The 19,147-nt window shown below is 37.1% G+C and overlaps 1 protein-coding gene across 1 annotated transcript in view, besides 1 other annotated feature; it reads right to left on the reverse strand.

The window, feature by feature from the left end:
• Nucleotides 345–508: a silencer, noted in NCBI's record as "fragment chr7:103765716-103765879 (GRCh37/hg19 assembly coordinates)". NCBI's record gives its function as "represses an EF-1alpha promoter that drives an FKBP-Casp9 reporter gene in an ReSE screen in K562 erythroleukemia cells {active_cell/tissue: K562}" and the evidence as "EXISTENCE:reporter gene assay evidence [ECO:0000049][PMID:32094911]".
• ORC5 (origin recognition complex subunit 5) overlaps nucleotides 1,417–19,147 on the reverse strand; it is an 81,673-nt gene continuing 63,942 nt past the window's right edge. Inside the window, exons 13-14 of the mRNA NM_002553.4 lie at nucleotides 11,857–11,969; nucleotides 1,417–1,969 (exon numbers count right to left, since the gene is read on the reverse strand). Of these exons, the coding sequence (NP_002544.1) occupies nucleotides 1,924–1,969; nucleotides 11,857–11,969 (159 nt within the window). The 3' untranslated portion in view covers nucleotides 1,417–1,923. The remainder of the gene's footprint in view (nucleotides 1,970–11,856; nucleotides 11,970–19,147) is intronic.

A 19,147-nucleotide genomic window follows, 5' to 3' on the forward strand; every position in this document is an offset into this window, starting at 1 on the left:
TTTCTTCTGCTACCACCTAAATTACTTTTACACCTAGGTAGAGTAGATGCTGAGTATAATTTAAGTGCCTCCTCTTAACAGAAATTTCTGGCCCGCCGGCCAGCCTAATTCTCATTATTGGATTCCCTCCTGTAATTGGAGATTCATATCTTCCAATTAGAGAATTCCACTTGCAGATGACCCTTGTTAAAATGCCAACATCCATATTAAGCTCTGTTAGTATTCATCTAAATAAATTAATCAAATTAGCTGCTGAGTCATTTAGCAAGCCATTAGAAAGTAAATTACAAAACAGGAAAGTTCTGATGACCCAGTCAGGGGCAGGGAAAATCTGGTTAGTGTTATGCCGGGAAGCCACATCTGGGGCTGGTAACAAGGTGGGGCAGTACAGGAGAGGAAATGCACCGGGCAGGAGACAGGTGACCAGCTGTGAGGATGCATGGACAGTCACTTATAGGAAACTTCACCTCCTTTCCATCCTTCTCTCCAGTTTCCTATTTGATAATTTCTCCCCTCCTGATATCCCAGAGTTCTTCCCTCAAAATACAGACTGGTTCCGCTTATCCGTGACAGGCTGCACAGCAGACATGCATCTGCAAAACAAATATGAGGGGCTGAAAGCTATCCTAGGTGGTGTTGCTCTTCCTTCAATCAGCTACCCAAATTGTTTTCTACAGCTTGATGACATGGATTTCTACATGCTGGAAACTAAGCCAGAATCCACACTACGCATGGCTTTTCTCTGACCCTGGCATCTCCAAACATCTTGTGAAACACAAACTTCATTTTCTGTGGGACAAGAGATTTACAGTGGGGATGCTCTATCACTTGCTGTGGATGTCAATCTTCAGGCAAGAAAGTCTGTCTTATTTATGTAGGGAGGCGAAAGGAATTCCATTCCTTTTCTCCCTAACTCATTACCTCTAAATAGTAGATAATTACTTGCTTTCTTTGAACCAGATAGTTACACTAAAAGTGCCTATCGTGAGAATTTTTCTTCAAAAAAAATGAAGAAATAAAATGCCACTGAAATTTACACTAGGTTCTATAACTAAGAACTTTAAGTCTGCTTAAAATAATTTTCAAGCATTCAAATGCTAAAAGAAAATTTCTTCAAAAATATGGACAAGAAAATCAAAACCAAAGTTCACAAGTGATATAACAGGAAAAAAAATTATTGTGGAACTCTTAAAGGCCAGTGATTTTAAAAAAGAGAAAGAAAGAAAATAAAACCATGATACTGATAAAAAAAAAAAAAACTGGGTTGGGTAGCTAATTTTAAGAAAGTGACCAGATAAACCTTATACAAGCATACCACAGTTATCAAGTAGGCTGAAAGAGGGAAAGTTGGTCTGTTTCTGATCAAACTACCTTGCCTTTTGAGAAAAGCAAGTGAAAAGATAAATACACACAAGCTTGGATTTTAAAAAGAACTTGTATTTATTATATTTTGCAACTATGATCTTTTAAAACAGTGGCCTTAGGAAAATCTGCTTTGGCAAGCGACTGCAGAGGCTCCTGTGGAGAGGAAGTGAAAAGAATGGGCATATAAACAAGGGCTGCTGGCACGTTCAAAGCGCAGGGGATAGTTCACAGAGCAAAATGTAGTCCTAAGTAAATGGGTTTCAGGCAATTTCAGTGTTAAGATAACATCATTAAGAGTAGAACAGATTGTGCTCAAACCCTGCTGTTTATAATTAACACGTTGCTTCCAAATACTCCAGGGTCCCTGGTAAATAGTCTTCTGCTCACATCCACCCAGACCAATCAGAATATTTTCATCAGATTCCATGCTGGGCCAGCACCTGTTTGGACAAATCCAATAGAGCCAAAGAACTCCTCTCCTTGGCCAGCTAAGTAGCTGGATGAACACAGCTTGGCTTAGTCATTGTCACAGTGTCCATATGGCTTTGAAGCTTGTTTTCACAAGAAATCATACAAGTATTTTATTATGTCAAAGTTCACCGTCCTAAAAACAAAAACAGATAATATGTTAGCATTCTCACCCCTAGATTGCTCAGCTTTGTATGATTCTGGAAAGCACATGCAAAATAATTCATGACTAATGCTAAAAATCCTATAGTGCTATCAAATGCACCCTGATAGGACTGACATTAATTCTTTAAAATGTTATTAGGAACACAATATTTTAATTTTTTTTTTTTTTTGCCATGCACGAAGTTTGCCTTTCTAAAAAAAAGTAAACGAAGCTAGAGCTATTCAACATTATGTACTTCAATTGTACTACAGAAAGTTTAGACTTCATTTGAAAGCTATTTGCTTTGTCTAATAACCAGAATAAAGTAATTAGAGATTCAAAAGTATTTAAATCTTCTTTGCTTCTGAACATTGTTTATCTTCCGAGACACCTGTTTTGTCATTACATAATGCATAGCTCATCTGTCCTCATTTATAGTTTTCATTCTTTTCAGTCTTTTAACGCTGGCTGACCTGTGTGTGTATTGTAACTAAATCTGTATGATCCAAGAATATGATACAACAAACAGATGATGTGAATGTATATTTTTGTACTCTGATGGCAGGCAGAATAAAATAGCAGAGAGAGAGACATATAATTATTCTCCTTTCACAAAACTCATTCTTCACTATAAATATTCAGACTTGGTTTATTATTTGAATAAATGGTCAAAATAATTGGATATAATGATCTAGCAATAAGTATAAAATTAAAGCCTTAAGTATTCAATTCTGCAAAAATAATCATCCATGTGAGAACAGCCTTTTAAAGATTCACTAATTGCATGCTCTTATTTATTAAACCATCATCAATTAATGTTTTTGTCTATCATTTTGCAATATACTTTCTAAAAAAGTTTCTAAGCAAATGACTGACATATCAAATATTTTTTAAAATGTGGAATGGGAAACTATAGATACTGCTTATGAAAACACATTTAAAAATAGCTAAAAAGAGATGCTATGGCTATTGTGGTACCTAATGTTGGACTGAAGAATAACTTGCTTCATTGTAACAGTGCCTCTGAAGAATACTAAGCCTTTCCAAATGGTATAAAACTGCCAAAACAATACTGCAGAACTAAAAAGTTTAAAAAAAATCTTTTGCATAAAGACGCAAAAAGTATGGTTATTAAATCATAAAGTTATTTTATATGTTTTTCTTTCGTTCAACTCTAGAAACACCCAAATTTATGGGCACCAAAGTACTTTTGACACATGATTCTTTTTGTTTGTTTTGAGATGGAGTCTTGCTCTGTCGCCCAGGCTGGAGTGCAATAGCATGATCTCGGCTCACTGCAACCTCCACCTCCCCGGTTCAAGCAATTCTCCTGCCTCAGCCTCTCAAGTAGCTGAAGGTACAGGCATGTGCCAACACGCCTGGCTAATTTTTGTAGTTTTAGTAGAGATGGAGTTTCATCATGTTGGCCAGGCTGGTCTCGAACTCCTGACCTCAGGTGATCTGCCCGCCTTGGCCTCCCAAAGTGCTAGGATCACAGGCGTGAGCCACCGCGCCCAGCCAACACATGGTTTTTAAAAAATCGTGATACTGATTGAAAAGATCTTATTTAGAGGACCATAGAAAGGAAACGGATATAATAGACTACTTTTTTTTTTAAACTTCATTTTATTATTATTATACCTTAAGTTTTAGGGTACATGTGCACAATGTGCAGGTTAGTTACATATGTATACATGTGCCATGCTGGTGTGCTGCACCCATTAACTCGTCATTTAGCATTAGGTATATCTCCTAATGCTATCCCTCCCCCCTCCCCCCCACCCCACAACAGTCCCCAGAGTGTGATGTTCCCCTTCCTGTGTCCGTGTGTTCTCATTGTTCAGTTCCCACCTATAGACTACTTTTAACCACGGACAGAAAAGGCAAGTGGTATTTGTACATCTCTCCAGGCACATTTCTCCACAATGACTTTGGGTCTTAGGTTATAAACCTAAAGTAATATGGTAAAATGGACTTAATGTTGTGTTGCTAATTTTTTTTTTTTCTGGACTTGGGTGAAAACAAAATTTTTGAAGCAGGTAAGATTAAAACAACTTAAATTCCAAAACTAGGAGAATCCATAAATTACAATACATTATTTGATGAAATATTATACAGCCATACAAAATGATCAATATGAAGATATACCAGCAATATTAAGGGAGAAAGGGAGAAGAAATAATTGCAAGTAAGTTGTGACGGCTGCAGAGAAATGTTTGTCTAATGGACTAGTACTAGAAGAGCACAAATACATGAAAATATTGTGATGTCTGTAGGACTTCTCTATTTTTTGAGAAATCTGTTTGTTACTATAGCATTAGAATAGTTTGTACAATAAATAAATAACAGAACAGACTTAATAGAATGAATGGAGTGACTTAAAAACACTAAGCAACTTAAATGTTCATAAAACTTTCATTATATTCCCTTTCTGTACTTTGTCAGTGGTAAGTATTCATGCAAACTGAATCATAGTAAGAGTTTTAGATTAAAAAAAATCGATCAGGAATTGAATATAAAATCATTCCTTTAAGAAACATTTACTTCCCAAGATGTATCACTATCTCTACCATTCCTCCACCCCCAATATAAATAGGTAACTTGCCAATTGATCTCACATATATTATTTTAAGACATGGCAGAATTTGTTAGAATAATCACAGGGGCAACATAAAAAACTATGCCACACATCCGAAAGATAATTTTGTGCTTTAAAGTACTTGAAGACAAACAATCCTCTTTAAAGAAAGGTATAACTTACAAGAGAATTGTGTAATTTGCATGGATGTTCCCTGGCTTTCCATGGTCACAGATGCATATTATAGTCACGTAAGTATAATTTTAAACTTTGGGATAACTTTCAATATACTATGGGAGATTCTCCCACAGAACATAAATGAATTATTTTCTAAAGTAACCAGCTGGAAAGAAATACAGTAAACACGAATAGTGTGGTGGCAATTTTCCTAGGAGTAATTCTTAAATCAGAATTTAGAATACGTTAATACAACTTAATTATATGGCATATATTTAAGGATTTAATTTTGCCTTTATCCTTTTATTTCATTTTGTTGATTCATTAAAATACTTTTTCTTTCTTTAGGATACTATTTTGTTTCCTTTTACTTTTGTGGGCAGTTTGAGTTTGAGATTTTTTTAATTTTTTTTTTTTCTGACAACTTGCAACCATACAACTTTAAGTTGTAACCTCTATTTATCTTATAGTGTCTTCCCACTGACTGTGGAAGAAAAACAATTGAAAATGTGTAACTACCATTCACATTAAGAACAATCCAAGAACAAAATTTAGTAAGCTTTTCAGTCATCTGTTATCTGCCTTCTCCCATACTCTATCTCCAAATTCTATGTTCCCTTTCTAGAATCAGCTTCCTACAGCTTCTCTGTCCAAACCTTTCCACTGTAGTCTCTATATCCTCTATCTCTTCAAGGAATGGTTATTTTCCCCTTCCAGGCTTAACTGAAACTAGGCTCCCCTCAAAGGACATAGTCTTTTCTTCAGCTCCTTCCAATGAATGTTTAACTCTCTACTGTACCCCCGGACAGTTCTGTCAGGTGGGGCTGGTGTCCTGTGCAAAAAGCTCTGCTACTCTGAGATTAAGACCATTCTGCTCACCATCCCCATCCTCTTTGTCGCCATCCCTTAGTCACTGAGTAATTTAGCATACAGTTCAGTCTTCCTTTCCAACCCAAGACCTGCGTCAGCCTAGTGACTTCACTATATATTTCTCTTTCTTACCTCCAATAACCTTTTCCACTCTCATAATCACACTCAGAAATGCTCTACTTCTAAAGAAATAAATTCAGACATTCTACCTTATGATCCCCAATTTATCCCTTTTTTGCTATCTGGAACATGTTGGGACAATCAGTTCACAAATGGCTTCATTTTTTCCTGATCTACAAACATTAACTGAGTATCTATATGCTAGGCACTGAATTATTAGCCCCCGACTGGCTTTACTTCCTTCCTGCCCGTCCTAGCTTAAGACTCCATGATTCATCAGGTCAAGTGGTTACTTGCTGGAATCCACTGAACTTACCTGGCAAAACCCCAGTACGATGTGATTTCGATTATAATTCTTTGCTGTCCCAGTCTCTAGCACATGGATTGGTGTTGGAGAAGATCACAAGTCTCACAGATTGGTGCCATTGTAAGTAAATTCAAGGTCAAAAACCTCAACACTCCCAACAAACTGCTTTCCTTTCAACAGTTTCTTCCATTCCCCATGGCAGCTATTTCAAATGTTCCAGATTTCTCTAAACTGCTACTATTTCTGCCCTTAGTCTCAATTTTGTCTCCTCCTTCTCGGAGAAAATGGAATTCATCAGATCAGAACTCCCTCAACTTTTTGCCACCAAACCTCCAAATTCAGCTCCATCAGAATCCATCTTTTTCTCTTGTTATAACGCAAGAAGATTCCGCTCTCTCATCTACAGCTCTTGCAACTCAAATTCTAAACCCCATGCTTATATAACGTTTCAGTAATTTTGTGCTTTAAATTAATCTTTCTCCATTTTGTATCATTAACTCTCCTTCTCTATCTGTTCTTTCCTATCAGCATTTAAATATGCTCAAATCTTTAAAAAATAAATAATAACCCTCTCTCAACCACATAACCCCTTCAGCAGTTATAATCCTCTCTCTTGGCCAGACACAGTGGCTGATGCCTGTAAACCTAGCACTTTGGGAGGCCGAGGTGGGTGGATCACCTGAGGTCAGGGGTTTGAGACAAGCCTGGCCAACATGGCAAAACCCCATCTCTACTAAAAATACAAAAATTATTTGGGCGTTGTGGCACACGCCTGTAATCCCAGCTACTCGGGAGGCTGAAGCAGGAGAATCACTTGAACCTTGGAGAAAGAGGCTGCAGTGAGCCGAGATCGTGCCACTGCACTCCAGCCTGGGTGACAGAGTGAGATTCTGTCTCAAAAAAAAAAAAAGAAAAAGAAAAAAGAAAAAAAAATACTCTCTCTCCTTTATAGCAAATAAATAAGTAAATAAATGAATCCTAGAATACAGGCTAATAAGAATAGGATATAGCTATGTTATACTTGTTGCTGTATCTCCCCAAAGCCTACCACAGTGTTTTGTTTATAATGGGCAACACAATAAATGTTAAATAAACGAATGAAAAACATTATCTCTCTTTGCTACATCTACTTTCTCATAAATACTACAATATGACTTCTACTTCATCATACCACTGAAAGTGTTCTGGATAAAGCTACAAATGACTGCTTTATCAGTAAATCAGAGGATTCTGCTTGATTTCTTGGTGACAACTGACTTTTGACCATTACTCCTGTCCCTTACAGTTTCCTAGTTTTCTTGTATATGCAACTTTATATGAACTGTTACATGCACTTAAGCTTACATCATGAGTTATTTTCCCAAGTTACTATCCTTCAAAAGTGTGATTTTCAATAACTCTATAAAAATACATGATGCTATTGATTGACTGCCATTTTAGACATTTAGGTTATATCCTGTGATCCCTATTATCTCATTTGTTCTCTGCCACAGGTGTCTGGAATGAGGCCAGCCTTCCTTTTCTTTGGTAACTATCCTTGGGACTTCCTCTCCCATCAAGCCTTGATTTGGAATGAGACTGTCTCTGAGCTCCCTTCTTGCTGTCCCCAAAAACAAATTCATATGGTTCCCCTTCATCTGAATTTTTACTGCTAATCACTATAGGAAAACATGCAATATTTATTTAGCACATACTAAGTTTAAAGCACTGTGCTAGGTTTGAGGATAAGGCAGTGATAGACATAAACACAGTCTGCTTTGAGCTTAGGAGCTTGTATTCTAGAAAGAAAGATGAACTCTAATTACTCAATTATTTAAGTAAAACTTGTTACATATAATGAAGAACAAAATGGGAACTTCCAAATCGTGTGTGTGTGTGGTATGGGGGGGTGATCATGGTGGTTGTGGTATTTGTGAGAAGGCGTCTTTAAGGAGCAGACATTTAAACTGAAATCTAAAGGTTATGTAGCAGTTAGCTAGGTGAAGGAGAAAAGAAGCTGGAAAATGCTGTATATACAAGCATGGGAAGCAGAATGGTGAATATAAAAAATGGAAAAAAGTGGTTAAAGTGCAGATACCGAGGAAAGAAGGTGTATGTGCTAGATGGGGCTAGGCACAGGTAGGGGCCAGATCATTTGGGCCTTGTTAGTTATTTAAAAGATTCTGTTATTTATCCCAAGAGCTATGGGAAACTACTGAATATTTTTAATGAGCAGGGTGACATTAAATTTTTATAAAATCATTCTGGCTACAGCATGGATAATAAATTATAAGAGGATAAGAGCAGACAGAAGATCAATTAGACTGTTAGAGAAGAGATGATGGTGGCTTGATCTAGAGTGGTAAAAGTATCATGATAACAAGTGAATGAAATTGAGACAAATAAGAGGGGCTTTGTAAGCTCAATAGGACTAATGGTTAAATATTAGGAGTGGGGGAGAGAGAGATGTCAAGAAGGACTCAAATTTCAGGCCTGGGTAACACAGCAGACTGCAGTGCTTATCACTGAAATAAGAAACACTGGAGGAAAGCCAGATATTTCACTTTTTGTTGGTGGGTTGAAGCAGAGGTTAGAATTCCTAAGTTCAGTTTTGGAAATGTATTAATATAGCTGGGAAACAGCAATAAAGGTCAAGAATATTATAAAAAATAGGTCTGGTCTTTAAAAACAGGGGCATTATTAATACACAGATGATTGTTGAAGTCACAGGTGTGGCTCAAGTTGCCTAGGGAAAAAAATGTAATATGAGAAAAGAGCCTAGGGCCAAGCCTAAAGGAACAGTTATATTTAAAGGTCAGATGGTAAAGATAGCCTTTGTTAGTAAAAACAACCAAAGAATAAAGAGGAAAACCAGAATACTGTGGAATCATGTCTAAGAGAAGAGAGTTTTAAGAAAGAGTAGCCAACAGTGTCAGGTGCCACTGAGAGGACAAACAGCCGAGACTAACAAAGGTTCTGGGAAAGTGGAGGAGATGGAATTCAGAGCATAGGTAGAAGAATCTACCTTAGGAAGAGGAACCCCATCCTGCTGAAAAAGGAAAGAAAGAGAAGATGGACACTAACACAGGTAGCTCAATTCTCAGTTGATGGCTTCAACCTTGTTCTGTGAAACAGAGTGAAGACTGAACAGAATGAACTCAGGCGTTAGAATGTGGGGTTTAAACAGAGTCAAGAATTTAGGTGGAGGCTGGGCGCGGTGGCTCACACCTGTAATCCCAGGCCTTTGGGAGGCCGATGCAGGCAGATCAACTTGAGGTCAGGAGTTCAAGACCAGCCTGGCCAACATGGTGAAACTCTGTCTCTGCTAAAAATTAGCCAGGCATGGTGGTGTGTGCCTGTGATCCCAGCCACACAGGAGGCTGAAGCAGGAGAATCGCTTGAACCCGGGAGGCAGAGGTTGCAGTGAGCCAAGATCGCACTACTGTACTCCAGCCTGGGCGACAGAGCAAGACACTCCATCTCAAAAAAAAAAAAAAAAAAAAAAAAAAATTAGGTGGAAAAGAAGTCTGGATACCAGGTGCCCTATTATCTCAATACATGAGGTGGAATGGCTGAAGAGACAAAAATCAGTCTTAAGGAGAATAGGGAAATAGAGCCAGATTGCATGAGTCTCAAGGAAGTCCACATTTTTATAAGAAGTTGGGGGCAGTAACAGTCTGGAAGTGGCAACAAGAAGGATGGCACCGAAATGACCTCCAACCCTGAGGGATTAGGGTTTGAGAAAATACATAGCTACAACTAGAGGTAAGTCCAGGGGAAGCAGCATCCCAAAGAAGGAATCAGGTTTTAGCTAAGGCAATGAGGAAGACTATTAGGAGAATAATAATTCCTAAGGCACATGGGAGGGAGGGAAAGAATGAAAGGTAAAGTCAGCAGAAAAGAAGTACAAAACACAGGGATGAGAGAATGGAAGAGGGCAGGTGTGGGGAGGAGCGGGTGCTTATTCTATGGATATTGCCCATGGGAAGTAGGGAACAGTAAAGAAAACAAAAGAAAGTTACAGAGCCCCCAAGTTCTATGTCAAGATTCCAGGTCTAAAGTTCTTGCTTCCTTCTGAGGTGGTAAATGAAAGTGCATGTCTCTGGATGTGTCTAACATCCATCACTGTGATGCTCTGCACTAAGTAACGTCAAATTAAGTCAGATTCAATGGAGATTCACTATATTAGGAACCCACAAACTTCTGTTTTGCACATGATTATACTGGGGCACAACCTAACATATTCAGAGTAATAAAATCCCTGAAATGAACAGGCTTCACTCCAAATTTATGCCTTGGATAGAGGCTCTTAGATATAAAGTTCCAATATAATTGCTTTTTTAAAGGAAGTAATTGCTTTGTGATTATACTTAACACACTAAAAAATAAGTTTCTGCTCAATTTTCTCTGCGTAAAAGTTTTCCTGGTTTTATTAAAATGAAACACTAAAACCCTTGAATTCATGTTTTACAGCCTATATGCCACAAAAATGTGGTAAATACCTGCATCATATTATCACAGAACTTAAAAACATTTTTTATAGAGACGGGGGTCTCACTACGTTGCCCAGGCTCATCTTGAATTTCTGGCCTCAAGCAATCCTCCCACCTCAGCCACCCAAACTGTTGGGATTACAGGTCTGAGCCACTGCACCTGGCCATTCATTCAATAATTTATTATTTATTTATTTTTCAGAGCATTTTGAATTCAGAAGAGACTTCAGGGAGAAGCTGCCAACCTATGGACTTCAGAACCTCAAGAAGCTGTAAAATTAATCATCAGAGGAGATTTGCAAATCTATACTGATATCAAGCACTGTTTTAGGCTGAACAAAATAATGTCTCATGCCTAAATACTGTTAATTTTGAAATATATGTAAATACTTTCATGACTAATTTTTAAAGGGTGCTAAAATGGAATCTTCATATTGAAAAAGATTAGGAACACACTGTCTATGGATTGCCCTGTTCACTCTGCCAGTCTACACACTCATCACCTCTTCCATTACAGTCCTGACAGATTGTTATCCAGCTGCAACCGTATGATGAAGTCACTTATTCATATAAATGGTTTGAACATTTTCCATAACACTAAGAACACCTCTTTGTAAGGAAACTTGTATTTTTAGACAGCTTTCATTTTGACAAATGTACTTTCTTCCCCAGAACTTCTAACATTCTAGAATTACTCAGAATTAGCTTCATTCATTTTGCACGACAGCCCCTGAAACACTTAAGACAGTTCACATGTCCTTCCTAAGGCTTTTCTCTCACACTCTGTCCTTCAGTCAGGGATGTGACACAATTCCTCATTCTACCACTCTCCTCGTGCCCCTTCAGTATGTATCCATTTGTCTCTCTGAAAACTCTAAACACAGCACAGCACACTAGATTTGATCTGCCTGTGACAACGCACAGTAGAATGATTATGTCCCCTGACCTAGACACTATATTTCTATCAGTGTTACCTAAGTCAGGATTTTTAAAGCCTTGTAGTCAGCTAAAAAATTTAGGACTTAAGCCAGCTCTCTCCCATCTTATTTCAATACAAGAGAGTTTTCTGTAGCCAACTGTCCATTAAATCTTACCTTGCCACTATGGGATCATTTATTCCAGCCTATTAAGGTTTTTCAGAATCTTGATTTTTGTCCTCTAACATATTAGCTATTTCTCCCAGTTTTACATCATTTGTAAATTTGAGAAGGTTCATTCTATCGTACAGCTTATTCATTCTTGGCACTTAAATAGATGATTTTTTCATGTTTAAATGTCATGACTAATGACATCACATTTGGAAAACACTAATTTTTATATTTAGTATATCATTACATAATTCAAGACATTTTACCTTGCAATAGCTCTGATGAAGTCTAGAGACACTGTGCATTTGTATTTTGGTCCATCAAGCTGATCGTCATGGCCAACCAGGGTTAACAGCTGAAGGGTCACTAGAGAGGTAATCTAAAAGAGAACATTTTTATAAGAAACTGTTTTAATAAGATTATGTAATACTTTTGTTTCTGAAACATCTTATAGTCTGATAAAGATACATAACTGAATCACAAAAAACGTCTGCAAAGAAAATGACTACTTTGCAATCTGTAAATACAAATTTGTACATATGTTTTCCAGTCTAACAACCAAGACTAGTTGTCAGAGTCCTAGTTTTGTTTTTTTTTTTTTTCTTAGAGATATGGTCTCGTTCTGTTACCCAGGCTAGAGTGGCATGGCTTGATCACAGTTCACTGGAGTTTCAAATTCTTGGGCTCAAGTGGTCCTCTCAACTCAGTCTTCCCAAGTGGCTGGGACTACAGGCACATTTTTTAAATGTGCCTACAAAAAAAAAAAAAACAATTTTTTATTGTTTTGTAGAGACAGGGTCTCACTGTGTTGTCCAGGCTGGTCCTGAACTCCTCGCTTTGTGATTCTCCTGCCTTGGCCTCCCAAAGGGTCGGTGATACAGGAGGGGGGCAGGGAAGTGCTGGGCAGAGAAGGCCATGGTCCCTGGCTAGTGCTCCACTCCAAGTCTGAGCCCACAGACCTAGGTAAGGGCTGGCATTTCAGTTTTTGTGCCTAAATATTACATTTTCCAAGACCACCCTGGCTACCATGCCCCCATCCTGTGCCTATAAAAACCCCGAGACCCTAGCAGGTAGAGATACAAGTGGCTGGACGTTAAGAGGAATACACTGGCAGAAGAACAAGCAAGCGGCTGGACATCGAGAGCAACATACCGGCAGACACCAGCAGATGCCAGCAGGCCACCTACGGTGGGACAACACAGAGTTTGGCCAAGAGCGGCTAGACTTCAGGGGAAAACCACCTTCCCACTCCATCCTCCTTCGGGCTCCCCAACCATCTGCTGAGAGCTACTTCCACTATTCAATAAAACCTTGCACTCATTTTCCAAGCCCACATTTGATCGGATTTTTCGGTACAGCAAGGCAAGAACTAAGGATACAGAAAGCCCTCTCTCCTTCCAATAAGGCAGAGGGTCTAATTGAGCTAACACAAGCCACCTATAGATGGCAAAACTAAAAGAGCACACTGTAACACGCCCACTGCGGCTTCAGGAGCTGTAAGCATTCATCCCTAGATGCGGCCGTGAGATTGGAGCCCCACAACCTGCCCGTCTGCATGCTCCCATTAGAGGTTTGAGCAGCGGGACACTGAAGAAGCAAGCCACTACCCCTGGAAGGGGGACAAGGGAACTTTTCCTGTTTCACTGGGATTACTGGTGTGAGTCACTGCACTCAGCCCAACCAAGATTCCTAGCTCAACAACTGATTCAAACAATCAGTCCCTAAGAATTCCACTAGAGACAGCTTTGTTTCATTACTCAGACACATGACCGCTAAACCTTTAAAAGCTGCAAATAAAGCACATTCCTCCTCTAAAAATTTTACAGAATATCTATCTAAATAACTCAGAATATAAAATCTATACTCCTTTGGGTATAAAACAATAATATGGATTTAGGTCTTTTTAAGAGTTAGGTAGCTGGTTAGATGAGAGATAAGAAATACATCCTTCAGACCTGGGCTTAGTCTTGGTTTAAAACTTTCTTTCCTTCTTTTCTTTCTTTTTTTTTTTCTGAGGCAGGGTCTCACTCCATTATCCATGCTGGATTGCAGTGGCGCAATCATGGCTCACTGCAGCCTCAACCTCCCCAGACTCAGGTGATCCTCCCACAGCAGCCTCCTGAGTAGCTGGTACTATAGGCACATGCCACCACACCCAGCTAATTTTTTGTATTTTTTGTAGACATGGGGTTTTGCCATGTTGTCCAGGCTGCTCTTGAGCTCCTGGGCTCAAGTGATGCACCTGCCTAGCCTCCCAAAGTGTTGGGATTAGAGGCGTGAGCCCCCGCACCCAACCATTGCTTTAAAACTTATTGCTGATCGTGTACTCAGGAAAACACCAGAAGGATTATTAGTAAAAGCAAAAGTGTATTTTGATAGGTCAAAATCAAAGTACAAAATCACTTAACATTCATATGGCCAACTAAAATATTAAGTTCTCTGAAATCTAAGAAAGGAAGCTGATCCAAGAGCTGAAATTCTTTGAGCGCCCATTGTCTTCTCCTAATTTCTTATTTTTGTCTCCCATAAGCCAGCAGGAAAAAGAGTCAGCAATGGCAGTAAGATAAAATTTGGAGACTTAGTTACCTGTAACTGCTCAGTGGCAATATGAATAAGAGTTTTAAGTTAAACTATCTGTAATACCTAATCATGTGTCTTAGGAATTAAAATGCTCACTTAATTTGAGACTAATACTTTACAAATGCTAAGTAAACATCCCATGAATAATAAAAACACTAACAGCAGTAGTAATTTGCTTGGTATTAAGTACTCTATACACATTATCTCATGTTATTCCTCATTACCTTCATGTCCACAAGGTGGACATTATTATACTTTTTTTTATAGATAAGCCTTAGAGATCTTAAGTAACTTTCTCCATATTCCAGATCTACTGGCTTAGCAAGAATTCAAGAAACCATGATCATCTTACTATATTACATTTCCCATTACCATTTTAAAGGGAAAATTATCATGCAGTATTTAGTCGATTACTTTACTAACAAATTAAAGGGTGAACAGATAATAAATATCTCATATAGAGTATCTTATGTAGAGAAAATCCTATATTCAGTAAATAAGAAATATTTCAACTAGAAAAGCAATTTATATTAATACATCAAAATACAAAGCTCTGCATTCAAAAGGCTAAGACTTTAATTTCTAATTCAGTATCAATAATTAGGTTACACCTTGAAATATCTTTTATAAATATTGTGCGTTGAAAAGAATATGTATTTTGCAAATGTTATGTTCTTTGTTACATGTCTATTGCTTTGTTACATATATGTCTATTACACAAGACACATATGTAACAAAGACATTATTTGTATTGTTAAATCTTATATACACCATTTTTAAAATCTGCCTGATCAAAACTGAGAGAGGTATTAAAATTCTTTTGTTATCATAGAATCTTTCTGCTTTGTAGTTTTTAAGCTATGTTACTAGGTAACATACATACAGATTTAAAATTACGTTTTGTTGACAAACCTTTTCATTATAATAACCCTTTTATTCTCCAGTAATGTCTTAGCTTACAGTGTATTTTTTTCTAATCTTAATATAGCTATATTAGCATTCCTTTATGTGCTCTGCCTTTTTCTGTTACTTTTCATGATTCTACTTTCAAGGTTGATGTTTTCTCAATTTAAAACAGTTCTCATGTAAATAACATATAGTGGGATTTTGTTTTTATAATCAGTCTGACAACTTTTACCTTTCATTAGGACCATAGACTCCATTTGTTTTTAATATATCTAATGATTTTCTAAAATTTTTCTTTCTACTGTTATATTGACCTATTTGTCCCTCCTTTCCTTTTTCTCATTCCTTTCTTACCTTTTGTTGTAATTATATTTTCTTATCTCTTTTTACTTTCACTACCTTGTAAGTAGTTCTATAGTCCTTTTAATTCGAATGTCCATTTTGATTTCTTTTTCGGCTCTCTTGCTATTTTGGAAGTCCTCCTTTATTTCCAACTTACAGAGTTTTTCCAGTTTTTTGTTTTGTTTCTGGGGGATCACAGAATGTGATCTGCATACTAGCAATCCTCTGAAATTTGTTGAGGCAGCTAGGTTCTCTGGGAGGAAAGAAGGGTGCATGGGAACCTGGGTGTCACTGTGACAGAGTGAAAATGACCATGGTGGCCACCCTGCCTGTTCTGCCCACCAGGCCCCTTCTTGCTTTATTCCAAGAATGTCTCCAGCTGATGACAACAGAGCACAAAGCATGCCCACCATGTGGGATGACTTACCCCAGGCAAATGAGGTAGGGTGCAACAAGAGTTTTTTTCTCTTACTTATTAAGGTATCTACATAATATCCTACATTTTGCCTTTTAGCCTGCAAAGTCTAAAATATTTACTATGTATCCCTTTACTGAAAAGGTTTGCTGACCTCTGCATTAGAAGATTGCTAGATTCAAATTGTTAATTTAACCAACATTAAAACTAAGATGTTTAGTAACTTGATCAAAGTGGTAATGCCCAGATGGTGCCAGAAACTCACCTGACTAGGAATTAAATCTCCTAACTCCAACTCCAAAACTTTTAAAAAACATGCATAAGCTGTGATCACAGCTAAGAAAGTGCAGATCTAACAGATGTATTATACTCCGGCCTGAAAAGAGTGTGTGCTAAAAGAATTAGGATGATCTGCAAAATAGTCATAAAGGGAGCATTCAACAGAATAAACCCAGCAGTATGCCTCTAGCACTAAGATACAGGACTCTTTGCCCATTAACTTAGAAATCTGGTATATGCTACAAATTTGTATTCACCGTAGAGGTGGAGCTGCCTGGCTGTCACTTAAGGTATTAAGATCATCCAATTACCTCATTCCCACTCTCACCACTGGGCCCATTCAGATTCCACACTTAATCTTCTGATTTCAGAAGAGAGAGAACATAGTTTAAGAGAAAAAAACATTTAAAGTTAGTAAGATCTATCTTTTGCCACTTGCTAGCAGTAGACTTCAGACTGGTCAGTTCAACAATGTGGACCTCAATTTTCAAAACCAAAAATCATCATAATAATCTTTCAGCCACACAGGGATGTTCTAAATATTTATAACTATAAATGAGCACCAAAAAGCTGTTAGAACTAATAAATGCTTTCAGTAAAGTTGCAGAATACAAAAATCAACAAACATGTCTATACACTTACAATGAACTATCAAAAAACGAAATTTAAAAAAATCTAACTTACAACAGCATCAAAAAGAATAAAACATGTAAGAATAAATTTAATCAAGAAGGTGAATTATTTATACACTAACAACTATAAAACACTGATGAAAGAAATTCAAGACGACACAAATAAGTGAAAAGATACCTGTGTTCAAGGACTGGAAGAATTATGATTTTTAAAATGTCCATACTACCCAATGCAATCTACAGATTCAATGCAATCCCCATCAAAATTCCAATGGCATTTTTCACAGCTAGAGGTATCACAATTCCTTATTTCAAAGTATATTATTAATACAAAACTACAGTAATCAAAACAGTATGGTAATGGCATAAAAACAGACACACAGATCCACAGAACAGAAAGTCCAGAAATAAAACCACACATATAAGGTCAACTAATCTTTGACAAGGGTACCAAAAATACACAATGGGAAAAGGATAGTCTCTTCAATAAATGGTACTGGAAATATTGGATATCCACATGCACAAAAAATAAAACTGAACTCTCATCTTACACCATACACAAAAATTAATTCAAATGGACTAACGACTTAAATGTAAGACATGAAACAATAAAATTCCTAAAAGTAAACGTAGGGAAAAAAACTCCCTGATATTAGTTTTGGCAATGATTTTTTTGGATAGGCTGCCAAAAGCACAGGAAACAAAAGCAAAAATAAACAAATGAGACTACATCAAACTCAACAGCTTCTTCACAGCAAAGGAAACAACCAATAAAATGACAAGGCAATCTACAGAATGGGAGAAAAAAAATCAGGTAAATCAAATGGCATAAACAAGATAATAGAAACAAAATTATATTAACAATTGTATTAAAAGTAAATGAAATGCTTCAAATAAAATAAAAAGACTGAAAAAATCAAACTGCATTTTGTTTAAAAGAGATACATATAAAATGGAAGCACATGTGAAAGTTAAAGGTCAAAGACAAAATTGAGATATGTCACACAAATTCTAATAAAACGAACAATGATGAAAATATGTTAAACATCAGACAAAACAGACATGAAATGAGGTTTAAAGAAAGGTTCACTTAATAATGATAAAATGCAGGCCCTGAGCTCGTATCTCTTAAAAGATTAATTGTTTGACACCTTTACTATGAAAAGAAGAGACACAGAAAGGATGGACAGCCAAGGGATCCAGGAGTCTTCGTGGGAGAGTAAGTACTGCTAAAACCCAAGACAAGACAAATTCAATAGCCTTCCCAGTGTGGAAACAGGTAGAAATCTATAATGACAGTAGGCCTGAAATTTTAATGAATGGGAAGATATGTAGTGAAGAGTGAACATAGTCTTTTATTGCTAAGTATATTAACTTCAACCCTTTCTATTTTTCTGTAAGGGATTCGTTTGCTAAAATAGGTTAGTAATAGCTATTTGAAAAATCATGCATTGAACTCTATTATTAAAGGCAGTTCCCCTTAGTACTTTTTTTTTAATACAGAAGAAAACATTAATTACCCTGTACTTTGCCACTGACATTTCCTTATAATATTTCTCATAACTGATACTTTCCTGTTAATTCGAACACTCACATATTTAGATTCTTTAATCGAAATTGTATGCTAAATTACTTTTTCCACAATTTTTTCATAGAAAAACACAAAATCTGTCTTTAATATAGTTAAGTTAGGGTCTCAAGAATATTTTCAGATGCCTTACAGTTTTTTACTTTTAGCACATTAGTTGTAACAAATGTCCAAAGGCAGAAAGTTGGAACAAACAAGCCCTTGAAGTCACTTTCAGTTCTACCAAGATTCCCCGGCTAAATTAATCATGTAAATTGTGCAAAGAATATAATATCACTTCAGCTGAAGATGCAGCAGCTAAAAGGAACTTCCAAAATATTAATAAGATGATTGATCAATTTTTTTAGGGGTAGGGATGATTTAGGAAAAGCTAATACATTAAAAGAACTAAACCTAAAAAAAGCAATTAAATTAGAATGTGATTTTTCACATTAAAAAAACTCATTTCAGTCATTTGTTGACTTTATCATGTGAAAATCACTGAAAAACTCAACATAAAAATATTCATATATATAAATTGTACACAAATATACAAATAATAGATATTCAGAAGAATATCTATTACATAAAGCAGTGAACAGGCCGGGTGCGGTGGCTCACACCTGTAATCCCAGCACTTTGGGAGGCAGAGACAGGTAGATCACTTGAGGCCAGGAGTTTCAGATCAGCCTGGCCAACATGGTGAAACCCCGTCTCTGCTAAAAATACAAAAGTTAGCTGGGCATGGTGGCACGTGCCTGTAATCCCAGCTACTTGGGAGGTTGAGGCATGAGAATTGCTTGAACCCAGGGGGTGGAGGTTGCAGTGAGCTGAGA

Source organism: Homo sapiens, chromosome 7 (genome assembly GCF_000001405.40).
Source record: "Homo sapiens chromosome 7, GRCh38.p14 Primary Assembly".
NCBI classification, from domain to species: domain Eukaryota; kingdom Metazoa; phylum Chordata; class Mammalia; order Primates; family Hominidae; genus Homo; species Homo sapiens.